Below are 15,469 nucleotides of genomic sequence, written 5' to 3'. Positions count from 1 at the left end.
AGGGTAGATAGGTGTCTGTGCTGTATGATGTTGAGGAGCACAAAAAGGTCTCCCATCATCAAAACCTAGAATCCAACAATTATTAAGGACTACGAGGGAATCTATTCCAATCTCCCATACAATAAAGGGACCCTTCCCAAACTGTCCCAGTTGAGCCTTATTTGAAAGCTTCCAGTGGTACAGAAGTCACTATCTGCTGCTCCAAGGAAATTTAACCACCAGCTCTTCCATTTGTAGACAGCTCTAGTTGTTAGAAAATCCTTCTTTGTCTTAAGCTGAAAATGGTTGCATCTTTAATCCATTGGTCATGGTTCTGTTGAATTAAACTGCACAGATTGTGCCTACATTCCCACTCAGGCTTTGATATATCCCCTCTCAGTTTTCTCTTTTTCAGGAAGACATCCTTACTTCTTTTTGTCAATTCTTATCATACAGTAGGAACACTGTGAACCCACTGGGTAATTGAATGCTGACTGCCCATGTCTAGGAGTGAAGCCAACCATGCAGAAGGCAGCAATGCTGTCCCCTTCCACACCCTGCCACTGGACTTGATGTTTGAAGCCATTCCTGAGCCAACTCATAGTCAGGAATGAGGATTTTAGTCCCAACCCCACTAGCACATGACCTCGGACCAGTTATTTATACTATCTGGAAATCCATTTTCTCAACAGTGAAAATGAGGGGGCTGGATTACTCTACCTTCTGTAATTCATTCTATGGTTTCAGGGTGGTCACTGTGGAGATTTATCTTGTGAAAGAGAGTACATTAGCCCATTGTCACTGCCACAGAACTAGGTTTCAGTCCTTTACTAGCTTCAACTGAGGAAAGGGACACCAGGCTCCAGGAGTGGCGGGGAGGAAGAGAGAGTTTTGATAGATGCTAAAAGAGAGGAGAGAAAAATCTAGAGATCCAGGGGGGCATTTCTATTCAGGCAGAAGGAACCATAATGACTCTGGGGACAGGTGCTGAAGAATAAATTCCAAGAAGACAAATTAAATGGACTTCCCAATTTTGCTTAGTCTAGTCCCAATTAGATATGGACTCCTACAGTACAATGAAGCAGGAGTTCTGCTTTTGAAGGACTATTGATATAGTGAGCTCAGTTACCCAGAAACCAACTGATCTAGTTTGTGAGTTATGTAAGTACCTTGGTTTTGCTCCTGGCACTAGAAATTTAGCCAAATTCCTGCTTACAAACAGAACCATCAGACACAGGGAGAGGAGTGAAATTAAAAGTGAAAAAACTAGAGCTTACAGCTTCTGATAGTGGAGAATAAGCTCCTACTGGATCAACCCTCCTGCAAATAACAACCATAAACTATGAACAAAATATAAAGAAACAATTGCCTGAAAGCACTGGAAGCAGCCAAAAGCAGGTCCACACTGGAGAGAAATGAAACCTGAACTGAGAAGAAGGAAAAAGCACTGGTGAGTTTTCCTTTGCTTACAGGTTTCATCTGAAGGCAGACCCCACTTGAAGCCAAGTAAGACAACTAAAACTCAGATAGAAAACCTGCAGCCTTAATGTATTGAAGAACCAGCAGAGTTTGGGGTACCCACAGCAGCTGCAAAATGAAAGAGCGAATCCTAGAAAGGAGAGAGCTATAGGAGGGGGATTTTAAATTCGTGTATAAAGTCTCTTCAAGATCCTGGCTAATCCCTGAACTATGCATAGATTAGGCATACTCTGAGCAGCCCAGTGAAGGCTAAACAAACTGAACTAAGAATTCTGTTACTGCCCACTTAAGAGAAACAGGGTTTTGAGTTTGAATCCAGCCATGTTTGCTGACTATGAAACAAACAGACAAACAAATGAAAATAATCTTCAGAAAAACATAACAGAACTCAGCAAAGTAAGTAGAAGGATGGAAACACTAGAGAGCACAAACCAATGAAATAGAAAACAGACAAACAATAGAAAAAATTAAGAAGTCCAAAAGTTGGTCGTTTAAAAGATCAACAAACTTGACAGACACCTAGCTGAATTGCTTAAGAAACAAGTAAGAGTACACAAATGACCAATATCAACATTGAAAGAGGGGATACACTACAAATCCTACAGTCATTCAAGGATAAGGGAATATTATGGAGAACTTTATGCTAATAAACTTGACAAGTATTTAGGTGAACTTAACAAATTCCTTGAAAAAAATGCACCTCACAAATACTGATGCAAGATATATAGAATAACCCTATGTCTTAAAAAAATAGAAATAATTATTAAAACCCTTCCCACAAAGAATACACCAAGCTTAGATGGCCTCACTGGTGTCTTTTATCAAATATTTAAGGGAAAATAGCACAATCTTACCCAAACTCTTTCAGAAAGAGGAAGAAGAAATTCTTCTCAAGTCATTTTATAAGGCAAATATAATCCTGATGCCAAAACCTGACAAAAACATTATTTAAAAAAAAGAAAATTGCAGGCCAATATCTCTGTTGAATTTAAATTTTTAAAATTCTCAACAACTAATAGAAAATAAAATCCAGGCTGGATGTGGTGGCTTACCACTGTAATCCCAGCACTTTGGGAGGCCGAGGTGGGCAAATCATTTGAGATCAGGAGTTCGAGACCAGCCTGGACAACATGGTGAAACTCCATGTCTATTAAAAATACAAAAAATTTACCTGGGTGTGGTGGCATACACCTGTGGTCCCAGCTACTTGGGAGGCTGAGGCATAAGAATCACTTGAACCCTGGAGGAGGAGGTTGCAGTGAGCTGAGATCGCACCACTGCACTCCGGCCTGGGTGACAGAGGGAGAATCTGTCTCAAAAAAAAAAAAAAAGAAAAGAAAATCCAGCAATACACAAAAAGGACAAAGCAATACACAAAAAGGACAATATATCATGAACAAATGAGGTTTATCTTACAAATTCAAGGTTGATTTAATTTAACATTCAAAACTCAATAAATATAATTCACCATATTAACACAATAAAGAGAAACCCCATATAATCATTTATGTCAACAGAGAAGGCATTTATCAAAATCCAATACCCATTGTTGATTTAAAACTCTCAGCAAACTAAGATTAGAATAAAACTTTATCAACTCAATAAAGAGCATCTTTGAAAAACCAACAGCTAACATCCTTGATGGTAAAACATTAAATACTTTCCTCTAGAAATGGGAACAAGACAAAGAAATTTACTCTCGTTATTTCTTTTCAACGTTGTACCAAGGCCCTGGCCAGTGCAATAAAGGAGAAGAAAAGGAAGAAAAGAAAAGATGGGAAAGGAAGATGTGAAACTGTCTCTATTCACAGATGACATGATTACTAACACAGAAAATTATAAGGAATTTATAAAACAACCACCAGAACTAATAAGTTAACTTAGTAAGGTTGCAGGAAACAATGTCAGTATATAATGATCAATTGCATTTTTATATACTAGCTGCAAACAATTCAAAAATGGAATTACAACAATTTTATTTCCAATAGCATTAGGAAACTTAAAATTGTTAGTAATAAATGTAGCAAAAGATGTAGAAGGCCTGTACACTGAAAATTGCAACACATTCCTGAGAGAATTCAAGAATACTTAAATAAATGTTTATGGATCAGAAGATTCAATATTGTCATGCTATCAATAAACAGCAAATTGATCTATAGAGTCAGTGCAGTCTCAATCATAATCCTATCATGTAGGAAAAGATGAGCTGTTTCAAAAATATAACTGGAAAGGCAAGTGTAGTAGGATATACAGAGCCATCTTGAAAAAGAAAAACAAGTTTGGAGGGTTTACTCCACTTGCTTAAGGCTGTACTATGAAGCTACAGTAACCATGACAGGGTGATATTGGTACCAATTGATACTGGTACTGATCGATACTGGTACCTGAAATAGATCCACAATTATATGTCAACTGATTTTTCTAAATTTTTATTTGGAAATAATGATAGATTCACAGGTAATTGCAAAGATAGTACAGAAAGGGTCCCATGTACCCTTCTCCCAGCTTCTCCCAATGGTTCCATCTTATATAATTACAGTGCAATATCAAAACCAGAAAATTGACAGTGGCATAATGGGTGTGTATAGTTCTGTGCCATTTTATCACACGTGTAGATTCATACATCCACTGCAATCAAGATACAGATCTGTTTCATCATCACAAAGATCTCTCTGATTCAACTCCTTTATAATCACATCTATCCTCCCTCTTCCCACTCCCAAGCCCTAGAAACCACTAACCTCCATCTCTTGGCCAATTGATTTTTGACAAAGATACCGATGCAATCCTATGAAGGAACGGAAAGTCTTTTTTTTTAATGTGCTGAAACATGTCAAACCTACACCCTTATCTCATACCATATCTAGAAACTTAATTCACTGTGGATCACAGACCTAAGCATAAAACTAAAACTGTGAAGCTTCTAGAACAAAACACAGAAGAAAATTTTTGTGATCTTGGAATAAGGAGAGCTTTTCTAGAGAATAGAAAAATTTTAAAATTGATAAATTAGGCCTTATCAAAATTTAAAACTCCTGCTCATCAGAGGATATCATTAAGAAAATAAATAGCCAAGCCACATACAAGTTACAGACTGGGAGAAAATATTTGCAAAATTTATATCTGACAAAGGACCCAGACCTTTGATTGATATATATATATATATATATATATATATATATATATATATATATATATATTTAAGCCCTTACAACTCAATAATAAAAAAATTTAAAACAAATTTTTGAAGGGCAGAAAATGTGAGCAAACACTTAACAAAGTGAAGTATGCAAATGGACAAGTATATAAAAAAGTGCTCAGTGTAATTGTCGGGGAAATGAAAACGAAAACTAACCACAGACTTGCTAGAATGGTTAAAATTTAAAAGACTGACAACAACAAGTTTTGGTGAGAATATGGAGCAATCAGGATTCTTGTATATATTACATATTGTTGGGGAAAGTTCTGGCAGTTTCATCTAAAACAAACACACTAGGCTAGAATCCTTAAAAAAAATTGAGCTCTAGCTAATTAAGGGCATACTGAAGTATCTGGAAGTGAGATGCACTGAAGTCTGCAACTTACTTTTAAAAGTACACAAAAAAATAAGAGATTGTTGAGTAGTTAGAGAGATAAATAGGTGTCATAGAACAATAAAGAAAAAATATTAATTTTAGAATCTAGATGGGGGGTCCATGGTGTTTACAATCCTTTCAACTTTACTACATGTTTTAAGTTTTTCTTAATGGATGCTTTATATTTTATGATTAAATGATGAAGCGGAAATGAATAAACTTCTCCACTTGTCAACAGCTCTAGTGAAAAAAGTATGATGAGAAGAGAGATGGAAACAAAAATATACAATGACATTTGGGATTCTCTGTGTATTTTTAAGCTCTCATTTTCTCCTCTGCCCAATTGTTCGGATAGATATTTGTCTCATATTCTAATATTCATGTTTAGAACTTTCATTTAAGGGTTCAAAGCATTGAGCAATATATAAATATCACTCTCAGCAAAAAATTCCAATTTCTATAAGAATTTTATATTTCTTAATGCAATTAAAAATATAACACTTAAAATGAAATAAATATACGCTTTGGGAGGCCAAGGTGGGTGGATCACTTGAGGCCAGGAGTTCAAGATCAGCCTGACCAACATGGTGAAACCCCATCTCTACTCAAAATACAAAACCTAGCAGGACATGATGGTGCACACCTGAAATCCCAGCTACTCGCGAGGCTGAAGCACAAGAATCGCTTGAACCTGGGAGGCGAAGGAGCCAAGATCACACCACTGCATTCCAGCTTAGGTGACAGAGCAAGACACTGTCTTAAAATAAAATAAAATAAAATAAAATATAGTGACAGTCTAACCAAAAGAATTCTGGAGGGAGAACTTATGTCTTGTTATCCTTATAGGCATTTACAAGACTGGTGCTCCCAAGCGTTCAAGTGTCAGGTAGCATGTTTTGTGTGGACTTTCAGATCCAGCACCGTGCTAAACCCAAAATGTTCCACTGGTCATGGATGTGGGGCTCCTGGAGGCTTCTGTGTTTCTCTTCCCCCTCCTCTTGTTTACGTCTGTGGCCAGTCCATGTTTTTATTAGAATGACTATCAGCATTCTGATAGTAACACATGTTACATCCACATGTGTGCCCTGAAGATGTTGGAGAAATAAAATGTATTCCCTAAAAAATACCACATAAATCACCAGAAAACCTCAACAAGAAATTTCTACTCCAAGACTACAATGTGGCTCTTTGAAGAAATAACAATTTTAAAATAAAGAAGAATGTAAACGGACTTTGAGTGCTCTCTGCAGTGGAATTCAGAGTCTCCCTATTTTTGTTTTTGTTTTAATTTTTCCCTTTTAAGAAATTCTAGCCAGGACATAGTGGCTCATGTCTGTAATCCCAGAACTTTGGGAGGTTGAGGCAGGGGGATCCCTTGAGCTCAGGAGTTTGAGACCAGCCTAGGCAACATAGCAAGATTTTGTTTCTACTTGAAAATCAAAAAAGTTATCTGGGCATGATGGTGAGTACCTGTAATCTCAGCTACTCAGGAGGCTAAGGTGGGAGGATTGCTTGAGCCCAGGAGAGAGGCTGCAGTGAGCTATAATCTATGATTGCACCATGGCACTCTAACCTGTGTAACAAAATAGATCCTGTCTCAAAAAAAAAAAGAAAGAGAAGAAAGAAGAAAGAAAGAAAGGAAAGAAAAAGAAAGAAGAAAAAGAAACATTTTATTAATTTTTTAAATTGCAGTAAAATATACACAACAGAAAATTTACCATCTTCACAATTTTTAAGTGTACATTTCATTGGCATTAAGTATATTCACACTGCTGTGCAACCATCACCATCATCCATTTCCAGACTTTTACGTTTGCAAACTGAAACTCCATACCCACTAAACAGTAACTTCCCACTACCCTCTCACTCTGGTCCCTGGCAACCATCTTTCTACTTCTGTCTCTATGAATTTGATTACTCTAGGTACCTCACATGAGTGGAATCATATAGTATTTGTTTTCTTGTAACTGGCTCATTTCACTTAGCACAATGGCTTCAGGATTTATCCGTGTTGTAGCGTGTGTCAGAATTTCCTTCCTCTTTAAGCCTGAATAGTGCTCTACTGTATGTTTTGCTTATCCACGTATCCACTGATGGACTGTTGGGTTGCTTTTGCCTATTAAGAGTAAAGCTGCTATGAACATGGGTATACAAATATCTGTCCAAGTTCCTGCTTTCAATTATTTTGGGTATATACTCAGAAGTGAAATTCCTGGACCATAATATCCTTTGCTTGTCTACATTAGAAAGAGCAGTTTTGAGAGCTGCAAAAAGTATGCTTGGAGAATGTAATAAATTTTGAAATTGTACAAATTAAATTCAGATTTAGAAAACTTGTGGCTTTTTTGCCTTTTAAAATATATTTTTTTTTGTTATGGAAAAATTTCAAACCTCACCAAAAGTAGAAAGACTAGTACAAGAAATTTACTTGTGCCGAAGTTTAGCTCCTTTACCCAACTCTAAAATGCGGCTAGCCCTTGAAAACAATATATTTTTACAACTCTGTTTATATGCTAAAAACATCATTCTTAGATGGCATCTAATTTCTGAAGTTAAAGAAAGATAGCATGTATGTACAAAATGAGGTTTACTTATTTTCTTAACTCATTTCAGAAGCCCTTGAAGATTTCCAAGTTGTGTTTTTTTAAAGATCATTCATTTAACTGACAATGCACACGCCCTGCAGTAAGCACCGTAAACTCCCAACACTTGAATGAAGACACTTCTGGGGAGCATCTTGTAAACCCTACTGAAAGCATCTGGTGGCTAAAAGGGGCTAATTCGGTTCATCAGAACATATAGGATCAGCATTTTTAGGGCTTAAGAGGTCAAAGGAGAAAGCACAATAAAAATCAACAAAGAGATGTTCATAAAATCACCGTGAACTGTAAAAGTAAACTAAACAGTAGAGTTGCTGGACCCGCCTTGGGGGAAAAAACTGACATTCCCTAGAGTGGTGTGGGTTCTGAGCAAGATGGCAATGGCGTTGCATGGGAACCCCTGTCTCCTCATTTGATGAACGCTCACATCAAAGGCGGTGGAGGAAACCCCAGCCAGCGCTGATGCTAACAAGACTGGAGTGGACTGACATGCCTTTTGAAAGTGATCAAATGATTTCTGTGGACTATTTGGGAAGGAAAGCTAAGCAGTTTGACATTTTCCAAACACATGGGAAATAATTAATATTTTAGAAAAACTCCAGATGACTGAGTATAAGAATGTGAAAAAATGTATGCTTGTGCCAATTAATAGCTGTGTGAAACCAGACAAGTTGCTTAACTTCTTCCTTATGTGAAAAATAGAGTTCCTTGTAGTTATTCATTGACTCAACCACGACTGTGTGCAACATATGTTCTGGGTGCTGGAGATCCAAGAGGTAAGGTCCCTATTCTCACGTAGCTAAGATTCCAGTGAGGGGAGACGGATAGTAAAATAAAGAAGATAGGTTTGGAGAGTAGTAGGTGCTATTAAAAAAATGGAATTATAAGAAGCTCATGCAAATATTTGAGGGAGGGCATTTCAGGCAGAGAGAATAGTAAGGGCAAAGGTCTTGAGGCAGAAAGGAGCTCAAGATTTCAAGAAGGAGGATTTCAAGAAGAGGCTTTCAAGAAGAGGAAAGAGGCCAAGAGGGGGGTGCAGCTCAGTGAGCAAGTTGGTAGGGATAGGAAAGGAGTCGGAAGTGTTAAATCAGGAGATGTGAGAAGTGGAAAAACAGTAAGTCTTCTTGAGCAGTGCAAGGAGTTTGGATTTTATCCTGTTACAGTGAGCCTTTGGGTAAATTTTATGCAGGGAGTGGCATGATCCGATTTATATTTTTCAACATTATCTGGCTGCTGCGTGGAAAGTGGAGAGAAGGGAGCTAAGAGTAGCAGAAAGGAGACCAGTTAGAAGGCTAATTCAGTCCTCTGTCCAAGCAAGGTAAGACGGTGGCCTGCACGGTGGTGGAGAAGCAGAGCCAAAGGAACTCCTGCAAATATTGAATATGGAGACTTCAGGGAAGAAGGATTATAATAATACTGACCTCTGAAATGAAATGAGATGGCACATGCCAAGTTAACTCATGGTATCCAGCTCATTAATGTTACTGAGATGAACATGGCATTGACAATGACTAAGGCCAGGAACAGGAGAAAGGGGGAGCAGGAAAAGGAGATTGTGGCTTGCCCTTTCCTGTAGGACCATGAACTATCTGACTTGCCTTTAGGGCAGCAAAAGCTTGACAAAGTCTGCAAAATAGGCAAGCTTTATACTAAATTTCAGAATGTAGAATATTGGAATGTTCTTTTGCCTTATGCTTTTTCTGTACCTGTTGAAATGATCATGTGATTTTTGTCCTTCATTCTGTTAAGGTGGCATGTCATATTAGTGATCTGATTTACTGTTGAACCAGCCTTGCATCCCAGGGATAAACCTCACTAGACCATGGTGAATGATCTTTTTAATGTGCTGTTAAATTTGGTTTACTGAGGATTTTTTCATCTACATTCATCAGGGATATTGACTTGTAATTATCTTTTTTATACTGTCCTGATTTGGCTTTGGTATGAGAGTAATGCTAGCCTTTTAAAATGAGTTTGGAAGAGTTCCTTTATCTTCATTTTTTTTGGAAGAATTTCAGAAGGGTGGCGTTAAAGCTCCCATGATGCTATCTGGTCCTGGATTTTTGGTTGTTGTTGTTGTTGGGAGGTTTTAAGTTACTGGTTTCATCTCCTTGTTGATCTATCCAGATTTTCAATTTCTTCATGATTCAGTCTGGGTAAATTGTATGTTTCTAGGAGTTTATTTCTTCTAGGTTATCTTAGAATAATAAAAATTCATGGCAGTCTCTTATGATCCTTTTTATTTCCTTGATATCAGTTGTAATATCTCCCCTTTTAGTTATAATTGGATCCTCTTTCTTTTTTTCCTTGGTTAGTCTAGTTAAAAAATTGTCAATTTTGTTTTTTTAAAAAAACAACCTTTAGTTTTGTTAATCTTTTCTATTTTATTTCTAGTGTCTATTTCATTTATTTCTGCTCTAATCTTTATTATGAAAACTCTAAGAAAATTAGACATGGAAGAATGTACCTCAACATAATAAAGGTCATATATGACAAGCCCACAGATAACATAATTCTCAACAGTGTTCCCCTATAATCCAGAGCAAGACAAGGGTGCACACGTCCACAACATCTATTCAACGTGGTATTGGAAGTCCTTGCCAGAGCAATCAGGCAAAAAACAAACAAATGAGCCGGGCGCGGTGGCTCACGGCTGTAATCCCAGCACTCTGGGAGGCCGAGGCGGGCAGATCACCCTGAGGTCAGGAGTTTGAGATCAGCCTGACGAACATGGAAAAACCAGTCTCTACTAAAAATACAAAAAACTAGTAGGGCGTCGTGGCGGGCGCCTATAATTTCAGCTACTCGGGAGGCTGAGGTAGGAAAATCGCTTGAATCTGGAAGGCGGAAGTTGCAGTGAGCCGAGATAGCACCATTGCACTCCAGCCTGGGCAACAAGAGCAAAACTCCATCTCAAAACAAAAACAAAAACAAACAAACAAACAAAAAAACACAAATGAATAAATGACATCCAAATTGGACAGGAAGAAGTTAAATTGTCTCTGTTTGCAGATAACATGATCTTATAAGTAGAAAACTCTAAAGACTCTACCAAAAAATAGTCAGAACTAATAAACAAATTCAGTAAGGTTTCGAGATACAAAATAACATACAAAAAGCAGTTGTATTTCTATACTGTAACAAAAAAACTAATCAAAAAAGGAATTAAGAAAAAAATCCTGTTTACAATGACATCAAAAAGAATAAAATACTTAGGAATAAATTTAACCAAGGAGGTGAAAGATCTGTATGCTGAAAACTATAAGACATTAATGAAAAAAATTAAACAAAACACAAATACATAGATATCCTGTGTTCATGAATTGGAAGAATTAATATTATTAACATTTCCACACAACTCAAAGTGTTCTACAGATTCAATGCAATTCCTATCAAAATTCCAATGGTATTTTTCACAGAAATAGAAAAAAAATCCTCTGGTAATCATTTCCCAAAGTGTGTGTACACATCAAATCATCACACTGTACACTTCAAATATATACAATTTTTATTTGTCAATTATACCTCAATAGAGCTGGAAAAAATAAATAATACTTTTAATAAAACAATGTTGGAATAATTTAACTGAGGCTTTACAGGGTATTCACAAGTTTCATCAAAATTTAATAAAGTGTGATGTGCAAAGAACACTGGTGGAGAGATCTGGCCATATCTGTGAGCTGAAAAAAGTTCATCCGACCTCGACACGCACCAAAAATCATCGACACCTTTTCTTGGGCACCTCAAGGAAGACAAGACTTTCCCAGAGATTTGTAGGAAAGCATAATAAAACAGACCAGCTTTTTCACAAATACAACAAGGGGCTTATCATGAAGGTAAGGAAGACGGCAAATAAGGGAAGGGAACGGTACTCATTTGCTGGGGTTGCCATGACAAAGGACCACAGACTGGGGGCCTTAAACAGCAGAAACCGATTGTCTCCCATACTGGAGGCTGCAAGTCTGAGATCAAGGTGTCTGCAGGGTTGGTTTCCTCCGAGGTCTGCGAGGGAGAATCTGTTCCATGCCTCTCCCTGAGCTTCTGGTCGCTGCTGGCAGTCTTTGGTGTTCCTAGGCTTGTAGAAGCATCACCCTGATGTCTGCCTTCATCCGGGTGTGCGTCTGTGTCCAAATTTCCCCTTCTTTTTAAAGGCACCAGTCATTTTGGATTAGGGACCATCTACTCCTTTATGACCTCATTGTAACATAACTAATTATTATCCGCAACAACCCTATTTCCAAGTAAGGTCACATTCTGAGGTGCTGCGGGTTAGAACTTCAACATATAAATTTTCAGGGGCATCTAGTCAACACAAAACAGGAACTAAGAGTCTCAAGAGCTCACTGTGCACCGGACACTGTGCTAGAAATTCCCCAAGACCCTGTAGAGTGGAGGAGTTTGGGGAAAGCTTGTTCTATAGCCGACTTGCAGAGTAGTTCCCTAAACGTATGCACGCACATGCGCACACGCACACATGCAATACATACTCTATTTTCTCTAATAATACTTCGGCTTAGTTTACTAGAACACACATATTTTTTACCTGTGGAGGATGACATGGTAATTTACGGTGTGAGGAAGAAATGGAACTGAGTAAGAAACGTGAAAAGGAGACAAAGTTGAAGTGCTGAGCAGCCACGATAGGGAGGGGATAATTCAAGTGTGAATGATTCAACATTGATGCTAATGCATTTTCAAAGCAAACATATGTCATTTAGAGACAATCTGATGTTTGTGGTTCTCTGTGCACCTCTTACTAGCTTGAGATAATCAAGAGTTGATTGTGTTCTAGCCTTCTGTTAGTCATCTTGCTAATCATAAAGTGTTCTACAAACTCTAGACAGAACAAACAACCCAATTGAAAAATGGGCAAAGAACTTGAGTAGGTGTTTCTCTCAAGAAGATATACAAATGGACAATAAGCAAATGCAAAAAGTCACGATATAACTAATCATTAGGGAAATGCAAACCAAAACCAATGAGATACCAGTTTACACCTATTAGGATGGTTATTATTTTTTTTTAAATAGCAGAAAATAACAAGCAATGACAAGAATTGGCAAGGATTCACAATCTACCGTGTGTGTGGCTGGTGGAAATGTAAAACGGTGCAGCAGCTGTGGAAAACCATGTGGCAGTTCTGCAAATAATGAAACACAGGATTACCATATGATCCAGCAATTCCACTTCTGGGTATTTACCCAAAAGAATTGAAAGCAGGTCAGGTGCGGTGGTTCACACCTGTAATCCCAGCACTATGGGAGGCCAAGGTGGGCGGATCACTTGAGCCCAGCCTGGGTGACAGTGTGAAACCCCGTCTCTACTAAACATACAAAAATTAGCCGGGCATGGTGCTGCACACCTGTAATCCCAGCTACTCGGGAGGCTGAGGCAGGAGAATCTCTTGAACCTGGCAGGCAGAGGTTGCAGTGAGCCAAGATCATGCCACTGTACTCCAGCCTGGGCAACAGAGTTTCTGTCTCAAAAAAAAAAATTGAAAGCAGGCACTTAAACAGTTATTTGCACACTAATGTTCATAACAGCATCATTCACAACAGCTAAGAGGTGAAAGCAACCCAAGTGTCTAGCAACAGATTAATGGATAAGAAAAATGTAGTATATACATACACTGGCATATTATTCAGCCTTAAAAAGAAAGAAAATTCTGGCACATGCTACAACATGGATAAACCTGAAGACATTATGCTAAATGAAAGAAGCCAGTCACAAAAGAACAAATACTCTATGATTTGACTCACATGAGATACTTACAGTAGTCAAATTCCTAGAGACAGAAAGATGGTTGCTGGGGGCTGGGGACCGGGAGTGGTGAGGAGTTTTGATTAATGGATACAAAATTTTAGTTCAGGAAGATTAAAACGTTCTGGAGATGGATGGAGGTGATGATTGCACAACAATATGAAGGTATTTAATGCCACAGAACCATATACTCAAAAATGATTGAAATGGCACATTTTTAGTTGTGTGTATTTAACCACACATTTTTTAAAAAGGAAGTAGGAGACACAGTCCTGGCCTTTGAATTGTTTCTGCTTGTGAGTAGCTCGTGCTTTGTCAGGAGTTAGCTGCATTCTGGGTTTTTTTTTTTTTCACTCTCCAAATTAAAACATAAAATGGAATATGTTAAACTCCTATTTTAAGAAGCAGGCAGCTTCCATTTGGGGGAATGAGAATGTGTATGTTGACTTTGAATTAGAAGAGAAGGAGAGTAACCCAACACATATTTATAGATCTGAACCAGAGTTGTGCTATAATTATTTATCTGAATACAAAGGAGGCTGGGTGTGGTGGCTCACACCTGTAATCCTAGCACTTTGGGAGGCCGAGGCAGGCAGATCACCTGAGGTCAGGAGTTGGAAACCAGCCTGGCCAAAAAGGTGAAACACCGTCTCTGCCAAAAATACAAAAAAATTAGCCAGACGTGGTGGCACATGTCTGTAGTCCCAGCTAATCGGGAGGCTGAGGCAGGAGGACCACTTGAGCCCTATAGAGATGAATGGTGGTTTGCACCAGATTGGAGATGGAGAAAAGCCATCAGAATCTGTTTATATGTTGAAGCTACAGCCAACAGGATTGCCTGACAAATTGGGTGATAGAAAGAGAAATGGCTTAGAATTTGAGACACGTGAGTGAAACAGCCATTTACAGATATGAGGAAGATGGTGGTAGAACAGGTGCAGGAGGGAAGTCCTATTCAGAAACTCTGTTTCTAACATGTACTCAATACGCAAGCAAATGGAGATGCCTAACAGGCAGTCAATAAACTACAGGAGTCAGAAAGAGTTCCAGAGTAGAGTCAAGGAGAGCATCAAGAAAGTGAGTCTAAATAGGGAGCAGGACCTAGGGCTGGGCTGGGCATTCCAGCTTTCAGAGGTCAAGGACAAGAGGAGGAATCCAGGGAGGATACTGCCGAGGAGCAACCAGTGAGCTAGAAAGAAAACCAGAGGTTGTAGAGAACTGGAAGCCAAATGATTTTCAGTAGAACACTGCCTTGCTGTGAAAAAGACTAGAGCCAGCCAAACCCCTGGTGGGGGTTGGGTCAAGGCTGCTGCAAAATGGGCATCCTTGGATTTGCCTTCTTAGCACTCTAAGAGGATTGATAGGCTTCAAGACCATCATCCCCTCAAGATAAATGTCTTTAGTGCTTCCCCCTAGACACTCTGAATTCAATTAGTTTAATTAGAAAACAAGTAAAGAGGAATTATCTTAATATAGCTTTGCTCCTAACAACTCAAAAAAGTCCATTTATTTGGCAGAAATCCAAGTTCCCTCTTTTGTTTATATATTCTGAGATAATGATGTAAATTTTCATTTCTGAGTAAAAAGGTAGACGTCTCTCACCCCGTCAATCATGGTTTTGTTTTAGTTTTAATAATAAATAATAACAATAATAAACACTTCCTGATTTCCTCATTTTTAATGAGGTAGGAGCAGTAATATGCTAGTAATGTTTAAATATCATTTAGTTTTTAAGTTGAGAGGGGGACTGTCTGATTTTTAGTGTTTGTCAATTGCTGTGGTGAAATTACTACCACTGTGGCTGATTTCAAGCTACTAAGATGAATCACTGAACTCAGAACTGGGAAGATGCTAACCATAAGTTCTTACAAGCCAGTAGGGGCTGATTCCAGCACACCAATGCGTAGCAATATTAGCTGTTTGCCAAAAATCCCTGCAAATCTATTGCCAAGGGAATTTTTCCTCTTACCGAGAGGCTACTTGAACTTGCATCAGTTGTAAAAGCAAGCTCAGAACCAAGATAATTGGGTTGGTAAGTGACGGGGGAGTTGTGTGAAGAGTAACTTCATTGTGTTT

The sequence above is a fragment of the Homo sapiens genome, chromosome 18, assembly GCF_000001405.40.
Source record: "Homo sapiens chromosome 18, GRCh38.p14 Primary Assembly".
NCBI classification, from domain to species: Eukaryota; Metazoa; Chordata; class Mammalia; order Primates; family Hominidae; genus Homo; species Homo sapiens.
This window is presented reverse-complemented; position numbering follows the sequence as displayed.